The 16693-nt window shown below is 48.8% G+C and overlaps 1 protein-coding gene and 1 long non-coding RNA gene across 3 annotated transcripts in view, besides 3 other annotated features; one reads left to right on the forward strand and one right to left on the reverse strand.

The window, feature by feature from the left end:
* On the reverse strand, window positions 2772–16692 carry TBX3 (T-box transcription factor 3). Of its 2 annotated transcripts, NM_016569.4 has the most exons (8): window positions 15329–16692; window positions 13396–13663; window positions 12430–12489; window positions 12022–12168; window positions 10097–10173; window positions 8830–8987; window positions 6682–7352; window positions 2772–4819 (listed from the first exon to the last, which is right to left on the reverse strand). In NM_016569.4, exons 1-8 carry the CDS (start codon window positions 15715–15717, stop codon window positions 4358–4360), a joined length of 2232 nt encoding a protein of 743 aa, NP_057653.3. In that variant the 5' UTR covers window positions 15718–16692; the 3' UTR covers window positions 2772–4357. The 2 variants fall into 2 exon arrangements, with proteins under 2 accessions (NP_057653.3, NP_005987.3); NM_005996.4 differs by lacking the exon at window positions 12430–12489.
* Window positions 4028–4588: an enhancer, noted in NCBI's record as "H3K27ac-H3K4me1 hESC enhancer chr12:115109316-115109876 (GRCh37/hg19 assembly coordinates)". NCBI's record gives its function as "activates a minimal SCP1, AML or CMV promoter by ChIP-STARR-seq in primed H9 embryonic stem cells {active_cell/tissue: H9 hESC(primed)}" and the evidence as "EXISTENCE:reporter gene assay evidence [ECO:0000049][PMID:30033119]".
* Window positions 4589–5148: an enhancer, noted in NCBI's record as "H3K27ac-H3K4me1 hESC enhancer chr12:115109877-115110436 (GRCh37/hg19 assembly coordinates)". NCBI's record gives its function as "activates a minimal SCP1, AML or CMV promoter by ChIP-STARR-seq in primed H9 embryonic stem cells {active_cell/tissue: H9 hESC(primed)}" and the evidence as "EXISTENCE:reporter gene assay evidence [ECO:0000049][PMID:30033119]".
* Window positions 8249–8750: an enhancer, noted in NCBI's record as "NANOG hESC enhancer chr12:115113537-115114038 (GRCh37/hg19 assembly coordinates)". NCBI's record gives its function as "activates a minimal SCP1, AML or CMV promoter by ChIP-STARR-seq in naive H9 embryonic stem cells {active_cell/tissue: H9 hESC(naive)}" and the evidence as "EXISTENCE:reporter gene assay evidence [ECO:0000049][PMID:30033119]".
* TBX3-AS1 (TBX3 antisense RNA 1) overlaps window positions 14809–16693 on the forward strand; it is an 85697-nt gene continuing 83812 nt past the window's right edge. The window contains exon 1 of the long non-coding RNA NR_187552.1: window positions 14809–15151. This is a non-coding gene — a long non-coding RNA (TBX3 antisense RNA 1). The remainder of the gene's footprint in view (window positions 15152–16693) is intronic.

A 16693-nucleotide genomic window follows, 5' to 3' on the forward strand; every position in this document is an offset into this window, starting at 1 on the left:
CCGGACGCCTTCACCCGCGGCTCAAAGCACAGCAAAAGGCGACCCCATCCCCTCCCCTCCGCGGGTCTCAGACTCCAGGGCGCAGCCAGGACTGGAGCCGACCTTCCCGACAGGCAGGGGTTGGAGGCCTCTGACCGGCACCCGCATTTGTCACCTTAAATCTACAAGTCACGAAGGTGCTGGGCCCTGCAGGCTGCGGTAGCTGACCCTCGTAGGGACTGCTGCTCCCGCGAGTCATGGCCTTTGTCCTTGTAGACGCGGCCAGGTTAAAAAACAAAAACTTCCAAAGTTGTGGAGTAAAAAAGAGAGCATCCTGGTACTGGCAAGTTGTCCCCAGGGCAGAATTTGAGGTGTGTATGTTGGGGAAGGAGGTATCCTTTCTCTATCGACCCATCGCGAATTCAGGTTATCCCCCGCCAGGCGGGGTCCAGAACAAGGGTCTAGAGATTTCTACAAGCAGCAAGGAACTTGTCCAGAGAATTACGAGCCAGGGTTCCCGCACTGAATTTTCTAACATTCTTTGGAAACCCAGAGGAGGGCAGGGCTGTTTTTCTCATCTGAGGCACAAACGGGAGTGAAAGTGATATCCAGGAAAGAGGGGAAGGCAGCTTCTTCCGAGGCTGAGAATGGGGCTGGGGACGGAGGAGGAGGGGAGTGGGGCTGGGAGTGGTGGGGATGAGAAGGGGCGAAGGCGAAGCGCCCAAGTTCCGGAACCCGGGAGGCGCTGGGGTGCCGAGCCAGCTGCGGCGACCTGGACGCATTCGTAGACGAGACAGATAGGTGGCACTCGAAGCCCAGAAAAAAGGCGAAGGCGCCTGCCCTGAGTGGCCTCTGGGGCGGCCGCAGCCACCATAAAGCCTGCGGCGAGATTGCGACCGGCGCCAGGTGAGTAATAGGCAGCAAAATCCAGAGAGACTGCGAGCCGTTCATCCCCTCCACCCCCCGCCCATCAGCGCTACAGGAGTTACTCATTAACATCACAATATACAAATGAGATACACAGGAGATTAAAAAAAAAAAAAAAAAAAAAAGAGGAACGCCAGTAAGAGAGGCTGGACACAAGTCTGAGCAGGGTCCCCAAATCGGGGGCGGGGGGAGAGAAGGGAGGAGGTAAGCAAATTTGGACTGAGAAAGAAGAGAAAAGCAAAGCATTTCTTCCCTTTTGGAGGCTGAGTTCTTTTTTCCCCAATTCGGGAGAGCGCAACCAGCCAACTACCACCTTCTCAGAGGCGCGGACACCGCGCGTTGTCGCTGGATCCAGAGCTGCCCCCTTCAGGCTGTAGCCGCTGCGCAGAAGGAGCGCGCCCTGGAAATCTCCCAGTCCTCGGGGGAGCCCCAGCCTCAAAGGTCCCCAGGGCCCGTCTCAGCTCAGGCCCTGCCACCCCCGCAGCGCACCCCGCCCCTCCCCCCCCCCGCGACTCCGCACCAACATACTCTGGTTGTCTGTCTTCCCTCCCACCCCCGGAGACATCGCAGAGGAGGCTGTAGGGGTCCCCACGTGCCTGGCCAGAGATGGAAGGGGCTTTGCCCCGCTCTCCAAAAGGTCTCGACCTCGATCCCTTCCAAGTACAGGATGAGGGAAGGGAGGGGGCGTCCTCCTCTCCGGTCATTCAAGAGGCCTGAAGGTGACAGGGACTTGGGGCCGGGCTGGCGGGCTCCAGGGGGTGGCGGGTGGGGGGTGGGGAGGGAGGCAGCCGCCAGGCAGGCTCCAGCTGGGTCTTCACGTCATGGCCCCCAGGGCAAGAAAAGGGCTAAGGACTAACCCTCGAACCTTCCCGTGCCGCCCCCGCCCCCCAACAGACACACACCTCGGAGGCGAGGCTGGGGGTCGGGAGACCAAAAGACTGACAGTGCCTCATCATTTTTTATTGAATGTTTCAAAGATAAATTGAACTTCAAAAGGCAACTCCCCGAACAGCCTGGAGACGGGTTTGAAGGGGAGACTAGGGGAGGATGTCAGCCTCCTGGGTGACTTTTGCCGTGGAGGGGGTGAAATGTGCACCCTGGAATTACCTTTCCCCTTTCGGGGATAATTTCCCTCCTCCCTCGCGTGACACAGCTAAGTTTTCGCGGAGCTGGCCGCGCTTTGCACGCACAACTCGGGATGGATGGGGCCTCGTAGGGGCGCCTTGGGCCAGCCGGGTTCAATTTGAGGCACCAGGGACTGCAGGCTGTGTGGGGGGTTGCCGAGTGGAAAGGCGTTGCGTCTTGTCCACTTCTACAACCTGGAGGGTTGCTGCCTAGCCAAGCCCGCTCGGACTGCTGGGGCATTCTGCTGGCCTTTTCCCCGAGCCAAACACACTGGTGCAAGAAGGTATTTTCGACTTGGATTCGCCAGATTGATGTCAAAACTGAGGGCGAGCTTAAAACGAAAAACATTCGTACTTGCCGAGCTTACTTTTGGTCGGATTCGGGTGGGAAAACCTGACTTAGGGAGCACATCAGTCTTTTTCCATTAAAACTTAAAAGTATCTGAAATTACCCTTCTTTCTGTATTCTCATCAGGCCCCTTTCCGTCTCCCTGCTTTGCTCCCTAATTTAAAGGAAAAGTAATTTCAGATTGAAGTGGCTCCCTTCGCTCAAGTAAGGGACTTTTGTTTTTAGCTTTGTAACTTGAGTGACATCTCATTTTGGTTCGCTGGGGGCGGTCTTAATTATTTAAAGGCGAAGGGAAGGGGGTAAACTCAGAACAAGAAGATACTAAACCCTCCCCTGACTGTCCATCTTCAGGAAAGGTTCCCAAAGAAAAAACATTTAACACAAGGCCCAAAGACATTTCAATAAAAATTTATTGAAATTTCAGTGATGTTTTAAAGAGAGGGGGAAAAATACAGAAAACCAAAGAACTCATCAACAACTATAACACAAAATATACCTTCATGAATTTGTCTTTAAACCATCTCTCAGCACCTGACTTTTGAACTGTGAATATATCTCTATAGGCAGGCACCAATTCAAAACACCGATACTGACAACAGTAGTAAATTCCACTTCGTTTTGAGGAAATCAGAGACTAGCAAATACAAATAACAAAAGAAAAATTAAAAAGTCAAACCGCAGCCTCTGCCCTCCTCCCTCCCCACAGCAATCTCAGTTATATTTTAAGGAATTTGAAGTGGAGCTGGAAAGTGGCACTCCTTCCCCAATTTTGGTGAAAATAGGAAATAGCACTTTCCCCCACTTTTGGACATTAAAAAAGAAAACAAAAATGTTGCAGACAACTCTTTTGAAAGGGTATTGGTGTTGGTGCAGGAAGTGTGTTTTCTAGTGTTAACAGCAATTCTGTGACCTGGAAATAAACCCAACTAAAGGAAAACAAGAACACAAAACCTGACAGTTGCAATTCTATTTACACAGAGCTATGTACAATGTCAATAAATTAAAGTTTAATTTTCCAAGCATTCATATTCCACCTATTTACAAGAGTTATCAAATAATTACATAAATACTTTGTCTAATAGTCTCACTTCTTTATTATTTTTTTAAAACCTTGTTATTGCATATACAGGAAAGAGAAAGAACTGTCAAAGAACGACATGAATCCTGCTACAGAGCTTAGATATAATAAATTCATTTTATGTGTTTTGCCCACTCCTTCCCTTTAAATCCCCCCCTCCCTTGGGTCACTGATTTGAGGGCAAAGGATTGGGAAAAGGGTAGGGGGCTATATTGTTTTCTCTCTAAAAGCAAGCGTTCAAAATAAAAACCACAAATACATTACTGTGGACATGCAAGAAGAGACCTACAGCGGCTCTGAAAACATCACAAGAATATTAAAAAGACACAGATTTTCTTAATATAGACTAAACAAGGATGGTAGGGACTTCCCTCCCCAAACAAAGCTGCTCAGTAATTTATTGAGAACCGATAATGCAAGTCCCTATAAAGTTTTTAATCTGCACAAACAGAATCATGTTAATGTGTTCACTTGTCCCGATTTTTTTTTTGAAAGATTTTGTTTTTGTTTCCACTTGACACAGTGAAGGAAAAATATATATATAAATCCGCACTGAGGGAGATGTCTTTGAACACCTCCCCGCCTGGTGGGCAGAGACCCAGACCAGCCTTGCTGGAAGTTGCTCTGGACATAAATGTTGGAACTCCTACCCCCAGTAGCTCAATGCAACCGACGTTTCTGAGCCCCCAGAATCTGATCCAGATCCCGGACATATAAACCACGCCAAGAAGACAGGGGCTGTCTCTAGCACATTCTCTCGAGGGAGTCCGGGGCCCCTTCCCAGACGCAACTGCAAAAGGAAGGGCTAACGCCATGGCGGGCCCGTGGTTTATTTTATATCCGACAAAGTGCACGGCAGCCTGAACTGGACTGGAATGAAAAGACGTGTCTGGGACGGGTCTACGGGGACGCGCTGCGGGACCTGTCCGGCTTGGCTTCCAAGCCGCTAACCAACCGCTGGATGCTCTGCAGTTCGCTGGTGGCCGCCTCTTTCTCCGCGCAGAGTTTGGGCGACAAGGACATGGAGCTGGAGGAGAGCGTGGAGGAGCGGCTGTTGAGTTCAGAGCCCGAGTCCACTGCCACCGAGGCCGGGCTGGCGGCCAGGGCGGCGACTTTGCCGTCCAGGGGCCCCGCGGCCGCCGCCATGGAGGGCAGGGCGGTGGTGAGCAGACTGCTGCCGTCCGGGACCGGCACCGGGATGGAGTAGGGGCTGTAGCGCAGCCGCGGGCGCATGGTGTTCAGATTGAGGAAGGGGTGGCGGTGCACCGAGCTGGAGGCTGCCGCAGAGGAGGCGGCCGCCGCTGCGGCCATGTACGTGTAGGGGTAAGGGAACAGGCTTCCGAAAGGGGACATGGCCAGGCCCTGGGGTGAGAAAAGAGACACACAGCGAGTCAGCCGGGTGGGAGGAGCTTATCTCATCCCTCTCCTCTCTTCTCCCCCTCCAACATTGGGCAAGCCATGAATCCCTGGTATGTTCTGTTGTTGTTGTTGTTGTGTTTTTTTTTTTGGGGGGGGAGATAGGTGGGGGCAGGAGAGAAGTCAACACTCAGAAATCTCTAGGTACAAATCTTAGCTGTGTCACCCTAGGCCAAGAGACTTTGATTAACTTGTGCCTCAGCTTCCTTATAGGAAGAAAAAACAGGGAAATCATAAGTAATTCATATACTTATTGAGGACTTTGTAGATATTAAATGAGTGAAAGCCTGCAATATGCTGCACACAGTGTGTGCAGCCCCCAGGAAATCTCCTTGCACCTGTTAAATGGGGATACAGATTCAGTTTACCCCACAGAGGTAACCAAGGGGAAGCCGGAGGACATAAATTAGTAGGAATAATTTTTTAAATCTTTCTTCTTCCCCAACCCCCATCCTCCCACCCCAATCCTAGAAGTTTCTCCAAACAAAACAAAACAAAACAAAAAAAACAGACAGTGAAGATCTTAAGCAAAAGGAAACTGGGGCTGGGGGAGGGAAAAAGGGCATTTGTTATAAACAGAGACAAAGAAATCGTCCAGCATGATTCACTGGTGTTCCAGGTGAGAAGCCGAGGTAGGCCGCAGGAGTTCAGGAGTGCACTAAGCTGGGAATTGGCAGAAGCAGCATTTAAGATGCAGGCACCCTGGCCTGGGCCAGTTCTCTGCATCATGCCTTGAGGTGCCCTTAAGGTTTTGTCTGTTCAGGTAGTCCTTGGTGTACCAACCACCTGCCCACCTAGGACAGGGTCTCCCGGAGAAGCCAGCAGAGGAGATGGGAGGAATTGAGAAATGCCAGAAGCCAAGCCTTTCCTCAGCTCCCTCCTCCCTGGAGTGGGGAGGCCAATCTGGTTTCTTGGCGCAGGGAAGGGAGACCAGACGAATGTGCTCAGACAAAACAAAAGGCAACAGCATGCAAAACCTCATAGAACCTTTTCATCGAGTTCAGGGTGTTTCCAGCCGCCTGAGACCTCCCCCCAGCACAGCTGTCTGAGCCACACACAGGCCTCCAGGCCTGCCCCAGTCCCTGCTTATCCCTGTCCTCTGACATTTCCCACGTGTGCACAAACCATTAACCCTTCGAGGAATAGGCTGGCCTGCTTGGGGTTGGGGGTGGGGAGAAGAGCTTCGAACTGGGAGGAAAGGCTGGAGGAATCAAGACTGAACTCCTACTCAGGAAGTAGTCACTTCCCCTCCCCAGGCCTAGAGTCCCATTCCTGGGGAAGGGTTGGCTATGAGACACTTAAGAGACATGTCAGCTCTGAAGCTAAAATCAGAAACCCTCAAAGAGGCCCTGGAGTCAGATAGCCTGGGGTTGAGTCTCAGCTCCACCATGTACCCGCTGTGTGACCTTGGACAAGTCACTCAACATCTCTGGGCGTCTTCGCCTTCATCTGTAAAGTGGAGGTGATAATAGTACCCCTGAAGGGTTAGGTCAAATGAGTCAATACAGAGCAAGCACTTAGAAGAATGCCTGAAAGTAAGTGCTGTGTCCAGCTGTTATCTTTGTTACTACCTATCTACTCTGCTGGAAACAGCCTTTAACTTCGGAAAAATTTTAAAGATTTTTGGGGTGAATGGGGAGAATGAAGTCATAATAACTCCATGAGCTAAGCCTTGAACCCGGTAATGGCTCAGTAAAAATTATTACAGCTACTAGGCCAAAGGGATCGGGTGAGGGTCTGCTGGCAAAGGACAGGGAAACTGGACGAAAGGTGGAAAGACTGGTGGAGGCAGGAAGAAGGATCCATACCTGAGAGGCCAGGACGTGCTGCTGGAGGTGGAAGGGCAGGGTGGCCGCGGACGCCCCGGACAGTCCCTGCGCCGCAGCGGCAGAGGCCATGGCCGTGGAATCCAGGCCCGAGACACCGGTGGAGGCCCCAGAAACCGTGGCCAGGAGGGGACCCATGCCAGCGGCCGCCATGCTGGAGAAGGCGCCCCCCATGGCAAACTGGCTGGGGTGCAGGAAGAGCGGGTGCCCGTTGAAGAACTGTTGGCCCGCCAGGCCCGGGGCGAAGCCGAGGCCAGGCAGGGGGCCCTGGGCCAGGTGCGCGGCGGCCGCGTCCGTCTGCACCGTGAGCGGCGCGAAGGCCTCCTTGCCCGGGAGCGCGCGCGCCTCTTCCACCTTGGCCGGCGCTGTGCCCTCGCGAACCGGGCTCCTGCGCTCCTCCGCGCCCAGGCCGCGAGTGCTGGACGAGATGGTGGCGGGGCTATGGCGTGAGTCGGGCGACGCTTTGTCCAGCCGCCCGCTGTCCCGGGGCCGCTCAGCAGCGAAAAGGTGAGCCTTGACCGCGGGGCTGCCCTTGTCACGGCAGGGCTCCTCCGACGTGGTGGTGGAGATCTTGGCCGCGTCGCAGGCCTCGGGGCCATGCTCCTCTTTGCTCTCGGCCTCGGCGTCGCTCTCACCCTCGCTGGGACATAAATCTACCACAGGCGAAGGAAAAAACCAAGGCAGAAGGGCGTTATCTCCAGTATGAGCCAACGGAACTCCAGTTCCCAAGTTGGAATCCCAGCTCGTGGCTTAGTGGCTGTGTAATCCCGGGGAAAGCCCCTTAGCCTCTCTGCACCTCAGTGTTGTCATCTGCAAAATGGGGATAATCGTGCCCAACAACATTGCTGGAAAATTCAATAAGCGATTATGAATTTAAAGTATTTACCCAGAGTTTAAACTTTCCCTTAGATGGACAATCCCCTAATCAGTAGCTCTTCTTATTTTAATGAATTTTACTTCTTTTTTTGAGTTCCTACAGTGGCAGATTTCACATGCATCTCCCCATTCGATTGCAAATTAACTTTTTAAAAGTAAAAAGTAACATTAAAACTCACAGCTGGAACATATTCTAATTACTATCAAAAAATCAGTGAATGACAGAGAGCAGCACCTTCCACAAATTTGTGAATTACTCTGGAAGGATTTGTTTGGCAAGAACCCTGACATCTGAATTGATAATGGCAGAACGGACACCTGTCCTTCAACACCAGTACTCAGTTGAACCGTTTGTATTTGCCCCAGTCCCTGCAGAGAGAGATGAGTGTCGGACAGATGGCTCACAGCCCGGGGACGATCATAGATTCTTTTTTCGCTTTTACCACACCCTCTGTGGGTGTTCCACCAGAAGAAAAGAAAAAGGGATCCTATTTTATGTTTAAAGCTTAAATGGATTGAAGACATAAAGGACTTGCATTTTATTTCACTAAAAAACAGGTTTCTTCCCGTTGAGAGTGTGTGTGTGTGTGTGTGTGTGTGTGTGTGTGTGTGTGTGTCTTTCCAAATAAATACTGCTTGCTCTTTAAACACAGGTAACTGAGGGGGGATTTGAGCCATCTTGTCCACTCCTCACCCACCTCCCCCAGCTCTACCCCCACCGCAGATCCCCAGTGCTCCACCTCCTCTCCCAGGTCAATTGTTGCTTTATAGCTGGATGTTTTCTAGGCCACCTTCTCGGTTCCAGGTGGCAGAGTCCCTTGCTTCCCCCCCACCCAGTCCAACACATTGTAACCTAGAGTTCAAAGACAGTGAAAAGTCAGCAGTTGGAGCCTCTGTTGGTTGGAGAGAATGGGAGGAGAAAGAAACAGAGACAGAGAGAAAAGAGAGAAGCGCTTCAAGCAAGTTTTCAAAGCTGCTTGCCAAGAGGTAGTATGCAAACAGACACCCACCTCCCCTCCCCACCAGCCAAATAAGGATCTGGGAGAAAGGCCTCTGTGCTCTCCTTCTACTGCCTTAGCGGGGAAGGGGAGACACACCTGATAGCCCTTTTTGAACTCTGGCTTCTGTTTAAGGATGTTTAGAAGGCTTCTAGCTTTTAAAGGGCAAGTGCCCTGGTTGGTGCCCCATCCCCCTTCAACTCTTCCAGGCCACGAGGGACTGGAGTCCAGTGATCACAAAGGTGACATGGTTTACCTTTGAGGTTCGATGTCCCTACAGTGGAGGCGGCTGGAGAAGAAGCCTGGGCGAAGCAGTTGAAAGCTGCTTGTTCACTGGAGGACTCATCAGAGGTCCCATTCTCCTTTTTGTGTCTTTCATCAAACACCCTCATGGACTGCAGGGTGAGCTGTTTTCTGTGGCAGAAGCCCACACCCAGGTTACAGAATGTAACATACATTTCCCCTCTTTGTTTCCCTTACCCTTTCCAAAGCGGCACACACATACCTCACACCCTGCCTGCTGCCCAGGGACAACGCTAATTCACTGAAATCTGCTTGCCCCAGGGCAGCCACATAGACCCAAGCTTTGTCCTTGACCCTCTAACTGGGCTGAAGAGTGTGGCAGAGGGTTAGGGAGAAAGGAAGGAGGCTTCAGTTGCATTTATTCAAGATGGGGTTTCATTAGGAAAAGGCATTTGCTTGGGCTGTGAAATTTTATTTAAAAGCAGGAGAAGAGGCTGGATCTAGTCAGAGACAGCTGGACTGCCAGCCTTATATAGGGAGAACCGGGTGTCCAATCCTGCAAACACAACGCTGTCTGTCCCCAGCATACCCAAATTTTGGATGGTGGCTAAGATTGGGAGGAAGTGGTTATTTCATGCTGCACTTTACTGTAATCGTTTTACTAACAAATTAATTGGAATAAAAATATATTTAGCTGTTAGCAATTATTTTTTAATGCCCGCCCCAAGGGGATAGGTTAAAAATTTGGGGGTGATTTTCTGGATTTTAGAAATTCTTTGAAAGGGGGTGGGGGAGGGGAGACCCTCTTTCATATACTCTCCAGCTGTCTACGTAATGCAAAATGATACATGTCCCCACGAAGGAGGGAGAGAGCCATACATCTTTCCGAAGTCCCCAGCTCTGTCTGATGGTATTTGGAAGACAGGATTGCAAAAATTCCCAAGTATTTTCTCAATGGCATGGTTCTTTCTGGGACCTGCCTAGGATGAACTTAAATTAATTAGGAATTAATAGGCATCCCTGTATAATCTATTATCCCTGATGCTTCTCTTCCAGAGATAAGTATGGTGTAGCCTAGTTAATTTCCTTAAAGGTAAGGAGGTAGGAAAAGTACTTGTCCTGGGTATACTGATAGCGGCAAGCATGTAGCAGTGGGGAAAGTGAATGATTTCCACCCGCTCTTAGGATAAGTGCCTGCATCTCACTTCTAACACTTCAGAGTTGGATCCTAAAAAAAGGGATTTTTCTAAACTATCTAATAAATAATTGTTTCAACTCACCTTTTTTCTCTTCGGCCATTTCCAGTGTCCCGGAAACCTTTTGCAAAAGGGTTGTTGTCTATTTTTAACTGGGTTATCTATTGGAAGAGACACAAGCAAGACAGAGACATTGTTCTCATTTTCTAGAATGTTTTGAGGGTGTTTTTCCCAACTCAACAAGTCTAGAGATGTGACTGCCAACAGAAGTCATATAGATATGCCAGGGAAAGGAGATAATAAGGAAACTGTGGCAGGGCTTGTATCTCCTATATGAGGCCAAACCAGGGATTTGGGGATGAAATTATTCAAAGAAATTCTTTTCTTTGGGCAGCCAACAGTTTGGGTTTAGACATGGAAGTGTTGTCAAAGTCATCAAGAGGGAAAACCTGTAGATCTTAAAATTATGCTTTCATTTTGATTTTTATACAGTGCAATTAATCATAAATTATAGCATACTCCCTTCACACACACACACACACACACACACACACACACACACTCCTTTTCCATGAATCCAATAAATGATTTATGGGGTTTCACTACCCTTGTGCGGGAGTGAGTGCGGGAGTGAGTTTAATTTTTTTTTTCTTTGCCTGGGGGGTGGTTTGAGGAAATTACAATATTGACAGTTACAGTACTGAATGACCACTGGAAACATCTGTTTTCATTTATATGCTCTGCCATGGCCATTAGGTGGAGAAGGCCCATGGCCTTTTTGTCTGATCAAAAATGCTACATTTTATTATTACATTAACAACTTCATTTCACAGGATTCTGGGTCTAGAGGGCACATGCATTTTGCACTTTGAGAAAAATGCTATAGTGTGTAATCTTTCAAATCCCTTCCCCTTGGTGGGAAGAAGAAGTTATATACACAGAGTTACTCAGAGGTGGAAAGGGGGACCCTTGGTTGGATTCATGTTCTTGGAATAAATTGCTCTATTGAAGACTTCAGGTTTCACAGGGAGAGAAGATCATGTTTTGGTATTCACACTAAAGAAATTTAGCTGGAACATCCCCATCATGAAGTCCACAGAGGACCCAAGGACAGTGACAATGACAGTGAGTTCAAAATGAAGTGTGTTGTCAGGTAAAATGGACTCTCTTTGAAGTCCAGGATTGCAGAGCAGGGGTCTTCAGTCCCTCCTCCCACCCCATAACTGCTAACAGCCAATCTGGGAACTGGTGAATCAGCAGTAAGGGTCACTTTTTCTGTGCCCATGACCTTCAGGCCACCATAGCTCTAGATATCAGGTGCTTTCCCTTTTGGGGATCCTTCTAACCTCCAGATTCAGGCCTGGGGGAGGGGGGGAATTCAAATGAAGTGGTGACTTTGGCCACCCCAACTCAAAAGCCTCAGACAACTCGATTAATATGACCCTGTGATCAGGGTAGGTTTTTCCAACCACACGCATGCATGCACACACATGCACACACACACACACATCATAACACAGCAGCATAAAAGGTAATAAAAACCAGACCAGCTACTCAGGATTTCTGGCTAGGGGAGAAAAGCTGGTCTCTACTAGGATTCTCCTCCCAGGATCCCAAATGGCTTTTGCCTTAAATTTTTAGCTGGTTCCTTTTGAATGTGACTTCTTGATCCTTCTTCCCCAAGGGGAAGAAGATGAACCTTAAAACAGACAGGACAAAGCCCAAGAGGGGGGGAGGAGTGGGTGGCATCAATGACAGCAGTTCTAGGAGTTTCTCTGTGGCAAAATTAGTATGGCGTTTTTTTGCTCAGCATTGTTCCTACCTAGTCAAGGTGTTTTTCTGTCTCCTCGAGGTGTCATTGTCCTTTCCCCCCAAATGCTCCACAAATCACAAAAGACAACTCAAGACTCTCGTCTCCACTCTCTTGTAACTTTCTCATCCTGACTTAAAGCAGCTTTTAAGGGGAAGGCAAAATATCACCATTAAAAAGGAAAGCCCCTTGAGTTTACCTTATCATTCTGGTATGCAGTCACAGCGATGAATTCAGTTTCGGGGAACAAGTATGTCCGAAATGTACTATAAGGGAGTTTCAAGATGTCATTGGCTCTTACAATGTGGAACCGGGGCTGGTATTTGTGCATGGAGTTCAATATAGTCTGCAGGGGCAGGGAAGAGGAGACATACATAAAACAAGGATTTAGCAGAACAAACGGGATCTTAGGACCCCTGCCAGGCTGAAATCTTCCCCACCGCAGGGTACCACGCTTGTACCGAGCCCACCTCCTTGGAGTACCCCCTGGGTACGTTTCGCTCCACAGATGTTATCTTCTGGAGAATCCAAATTGCTCCTCAGTTGCCAAAGGGCCCCCCCCACCCTCACCATCTAAGGATCATTCATACCTTGAACCCTAGCCTACCTGAGTACCAAAACTATAATTCCCCTGCCACGTAGCGTGATCACTTGGGAAGGCCAAAGTCTTAAAAGATAGAGAAAAACATGCATTTTAATTTACAAAATGATTCAGTACTTTAAGCGCCCACTAATTGACGAGCCCAATCCACTTAAAGCCCTGAAAGGCTGAACTCTAGAGAGGAATATTTATGCCTTAATCAAATCAAGGGCTTCAAATGCAATTCCTGCCCGCTGAAGATATTTCCGCGCCATTCGCGTCTTCCTGGGCCTAATCTTTCTGCTTACTCCTTGCTTATCACGCTGTTTATTTTATTGAAATGTTGGGGAGGGGTAGGAAAAGGCGCAAAAGGTCCTTTGCCTGATATCTACAAGCAATGAAAGTTTTCTAAGTTTCTAAGCACTGTCACTGAATCCATATATACACTCCCAACACACAAACCATTTTTTTCTGAAGATCTAAGCCTCATTTAGGGTAAGCCGGACTCCCACCTAAGCCCAATTCTTTTTTTAGTAAAAGAACGAGTTTTTAAAAATGTATTCACACCATTTAACCAACAGAGTCAAGGCTCCGAAACGTAAACTCTCCTGAGAAAATAATATCACTGGTTTCAAAACAGAAGTATGATATTTTAAAACAAAACAAATCCTTTAGGAATACATAGCCTTGAAATTGATTTTAGCTCTTAAAAAATGGTTTTTAACTTCACTCTCAGGTCAGGAATCTACCAAAGAGCTGGAATTGCTATAGAACACAAGCCGGTAAGTTTTCTTGCCCCATTTCTTTTAGAACGCCAGGCCTTCCATTATTTGGAGAGAAACACCCCGAATCCTTTTTCCAGACGAGGACAAGTTTGCTATGCTTAGGGAGAAGCAAAGGAGAAGTCTGGGCTGAAACTCATGAAATGGGAAGCACTGCCTTTGACTGAGTGAAGGAGGAGAAAATTTTACTGAAGAGAGCAATGAAACTTACAAATCCATGTTTGTCTGAAATGTTGTTGGTGAGTTTCAGTTTGTGGAAAGTGACGACTTTGGACATCCACTGTTCCCCAGTAGCGGGGCTGTCCGGGTGAATGTACATCCTCTTTGGCATTTCGGGGTCGGCCTTACCAGCCACCATCCACCGAGAATTGTGAAATTTATAACGACAGTCATCAGCAGCTATAATGTCCATCAATAAAATGTATTTGGCTTTTTTATCCAGCCCAGAACATCTCACTTTAAATGGAGGAAACATTCGCCTATAAAACGAAAGAATAGAAAAGAAAAAGAAAGATAAACCACCCGTAATCTTGGGTTTGATTTCCTATGTATCACATAATATTGAAACCAAGTCTAAGACTTTATATTGTGACTGATAAGCTTACATGTTTCAGAGTGAGGCAACTGGTTGCAAAATCGTTTTCTTCCACAACTAACGTATTAAATATTCTCAGTTTCGCCATATTTAGACGTCCCAAGGTTCAAAACAAATGCATTGTGGCACTGCAATTCTCTACATTGTCTAACAATTTCTTCAATATTTTTTTTGTCCTTGCTTGACTTTACAGATTGCCCTCCTGAGAGCAAATTCTTGCCCATGTCTTTTTCTGTGGGTATCTAGATCTAAACAGGTTGGGGTAAGATTTTTGTAAAGCGCGGTCAGTTAAGACTAGAATTTTCCACCACCCATTGATGAGAAAATGTTAAACTTATCAAGGAAATGAACGTCAAGTTGCACCCCTCCCTGCTGCAGAATAGCAATCCCGCTGTGGGCGAAGTGAAACTGGACTTCAGTGAGTTCCCAGAACGAATTTTGCAGACTTCGGTGCACTCCTGGGCCTGATAACCGATCTGCCCGTGGAGCTGCTAACACATTCCCCCACTTCTTAGGCCAGTCCAAAACCGCAAGACTGTGCCACCACATTGCTGTTAATTTCACAGAAGGGTTGGCATTCTGTAGTCTTGACTTAAAAGGAAGCAAGGAAGCACTTTGCTGGAAAACTGACTAAATGTCTTGTGAGTTTGAGGAGGATTTTATGCCAAACTTTGGCCTCATTTAGCTTGGAAGGAGACAGAACGCTTAAGATATCATGAAGGGGATTTTATTTTTGTATCAACTTTATGCCTTTACAGGCTTCAATGCTATTACAAAAAAAAAATCAGTGATTTTAAATGACTATTACAGGATCTTCTCTTCCAGGCAGGTTTTGGTCAGGCAAGGACCTTTAAACATTATGTAAAATATGGTTGATAATATTCACACATTAAAAAAAAGGTGTGTGTCTCCTCACTGGCTCCTTAAGTCTGCAAACATAATCTTAAATTATGCAAAATTGCCTGCTGAACTCGCCCTTGGGTTACAGACACGTGAAGTAGTGTGGGCAAACAAACCAAAATGCCCTTCGATTTCTCTCTGACCAGGGCAGCAGCAGGCCCCTTTAGACCCAGAGGCTAGACTGGAGGGCAGAAAGGGCCGGGGAATGGTGTCAGGCCTCCCAATACCCACACAAAAGGAAAGGGCTTTAAGTTTTTCTCTCTGAGAACAAAATAAAACAGACAACACAACATCAACAAAGAAATAAGGATGTTCCAGGAGGGTTTGAAGAGTGAGTTTCTTGCAGTAGAGTGCCTTTTTTTTTTTTCTTTCCTGCTCCCTGCAGGGATGTCTGTGCTCCACTGAAAAATTCTGTCTGTTCGGGAGGGAACCCAGGATGCAGACCAAATGCAAGACCCATGCAGATGCCCAGGTAAGCTGAAATTTCCTGCCACCGGGGCAGGGCCTGGAAGTCTGTGCATACATTTCTAGGGGAACTAACTTTTCGTCCAAGCCGTAATAACCGACCAACCGACTGTTCTGGGAGCAGAGAAATAAAGGGAGGAAAAAACTCTCCAACAGCTTAGGGGAGGAGGCCCCCACTGCTTACCTTCCCGACTTGGTAATGACCATCTCGGTGCCCCGCTTGTGAAACTGATCCCAAAGTTCTTTAGCCTCCAGGTGCACCTTGGGGTCGTCCTCCACCTCTTCTTCGGGCTCCATGGTCTTCAAAGGCCTCAGATGCGCCTGGGGCCCCAGGGAGGAGAACGGGATGCCGGTCTCGGCCGCCCCCACCAATTGATCCATGATCGGCTTGGCCAGGGCGCCCGGCAGCGAGAGCGCCGCCGCGCCGTTGGGAGGCAGCGTCAGCGCGGGGAAGAACGGCGGCTGGTGACCCAGCACCGCGCTCATGGCGAAGTCCGGCGCCCGGTGAGGTAGGAACGGATGGTAGGCCATGCTTGTCCCAGGAATGACCGGATCTCTCATGGAGAGGCTCATCCACTCCAGGCGGGGCGCTGGGCTCCAGCCGGGGACAAGTCCGCAGCTGCTGTGTTTTGTTGTTTTTTTGTTGTTGTTTAACAGCAGCACATAATTCAAAAGGGGGGAAAAAGCAAAACAAAAAAGAAAGAAAAAAGAAAAGGAGGCAGAAATCACAACTAATGCACTTCAAAGGGAGGAGGGGAAGTGTCTTTTGGAGAATGGGAGGCCGCTTTTAAAGAGGGCAAGGCGAAAAATCAGCAAACATAGTCGCGCGGGTGACCGTCCTTGTGCCTTGCGTTTTTAAAAAGCCGCTCCTGAACGTCGGTTTCAGAAGCGAGAGGAGCGAGCAGGGTCTCGACTCGCGCCCGAGCCCTGCCGCTGAGCTCGAAATAGACACTCCAGCCCTGCGTCCCAGGAATCTCTCTCCAGCCCCTAGGTCTTTTGTTGCAAATGTGAAAGGTTCTCCTAGAAGACTTTTTACCTTTCTTTTTCTTCTTCCCCCGCCCCCTATCTGTCTTCCTCTCCCTCTTTCTCGCTGGTGGCGTCTGCAGCTGTGCTAGACCCGGCTTTAACAGGGAGCGAGAGAGCGGAAAAAGTCTCTCTCCTTTAAAAAAAAAAAAATCTGATTTAAACCCCCTTCTACCAGCGCTATCAAAACTTGAATTGCAAACTGGCTTCCGTTCGCCGCCCTCCTCCTCCTTCCTCTGCTCCGAGCCTCCGGAGGGTGTCTCGGTTTCAATCCAAATCTTGCTGGGCTCTTCTCCCGTGCCTCTCTCTCTTCCTTGTCCTAAAACGTGAGCGAATTCGCTTCCTAAATCTGTGTCCAGGCGCGCAGGGCAGGGAGGATTTAGAGGGGGAAAAAATGGAACAGAGGGAAAGAGAGGGAGGGGAGAGAGAGAGAGAGAGAGAGAGACGGAGTCGGAGAGGGAGGGAGCGAGAGAAAGCGAGAGCTCCTCGCCACCCTCCGCCGCCTCTAGAATTCACCGGGCGTCTG

The sequence above is a fragment of the Homo sapiens genome, chromosome 12, assembly GCF_000001405.40.
Source record: "Homo sapiens chromosome 12, GRCh38.p14 Primary Assembly".
Lineage (NCBI taxonomy): Eukaryota > Metazoa > Chordata > Mammalia > Primates > Hominidae > Homo > Homo sapiens.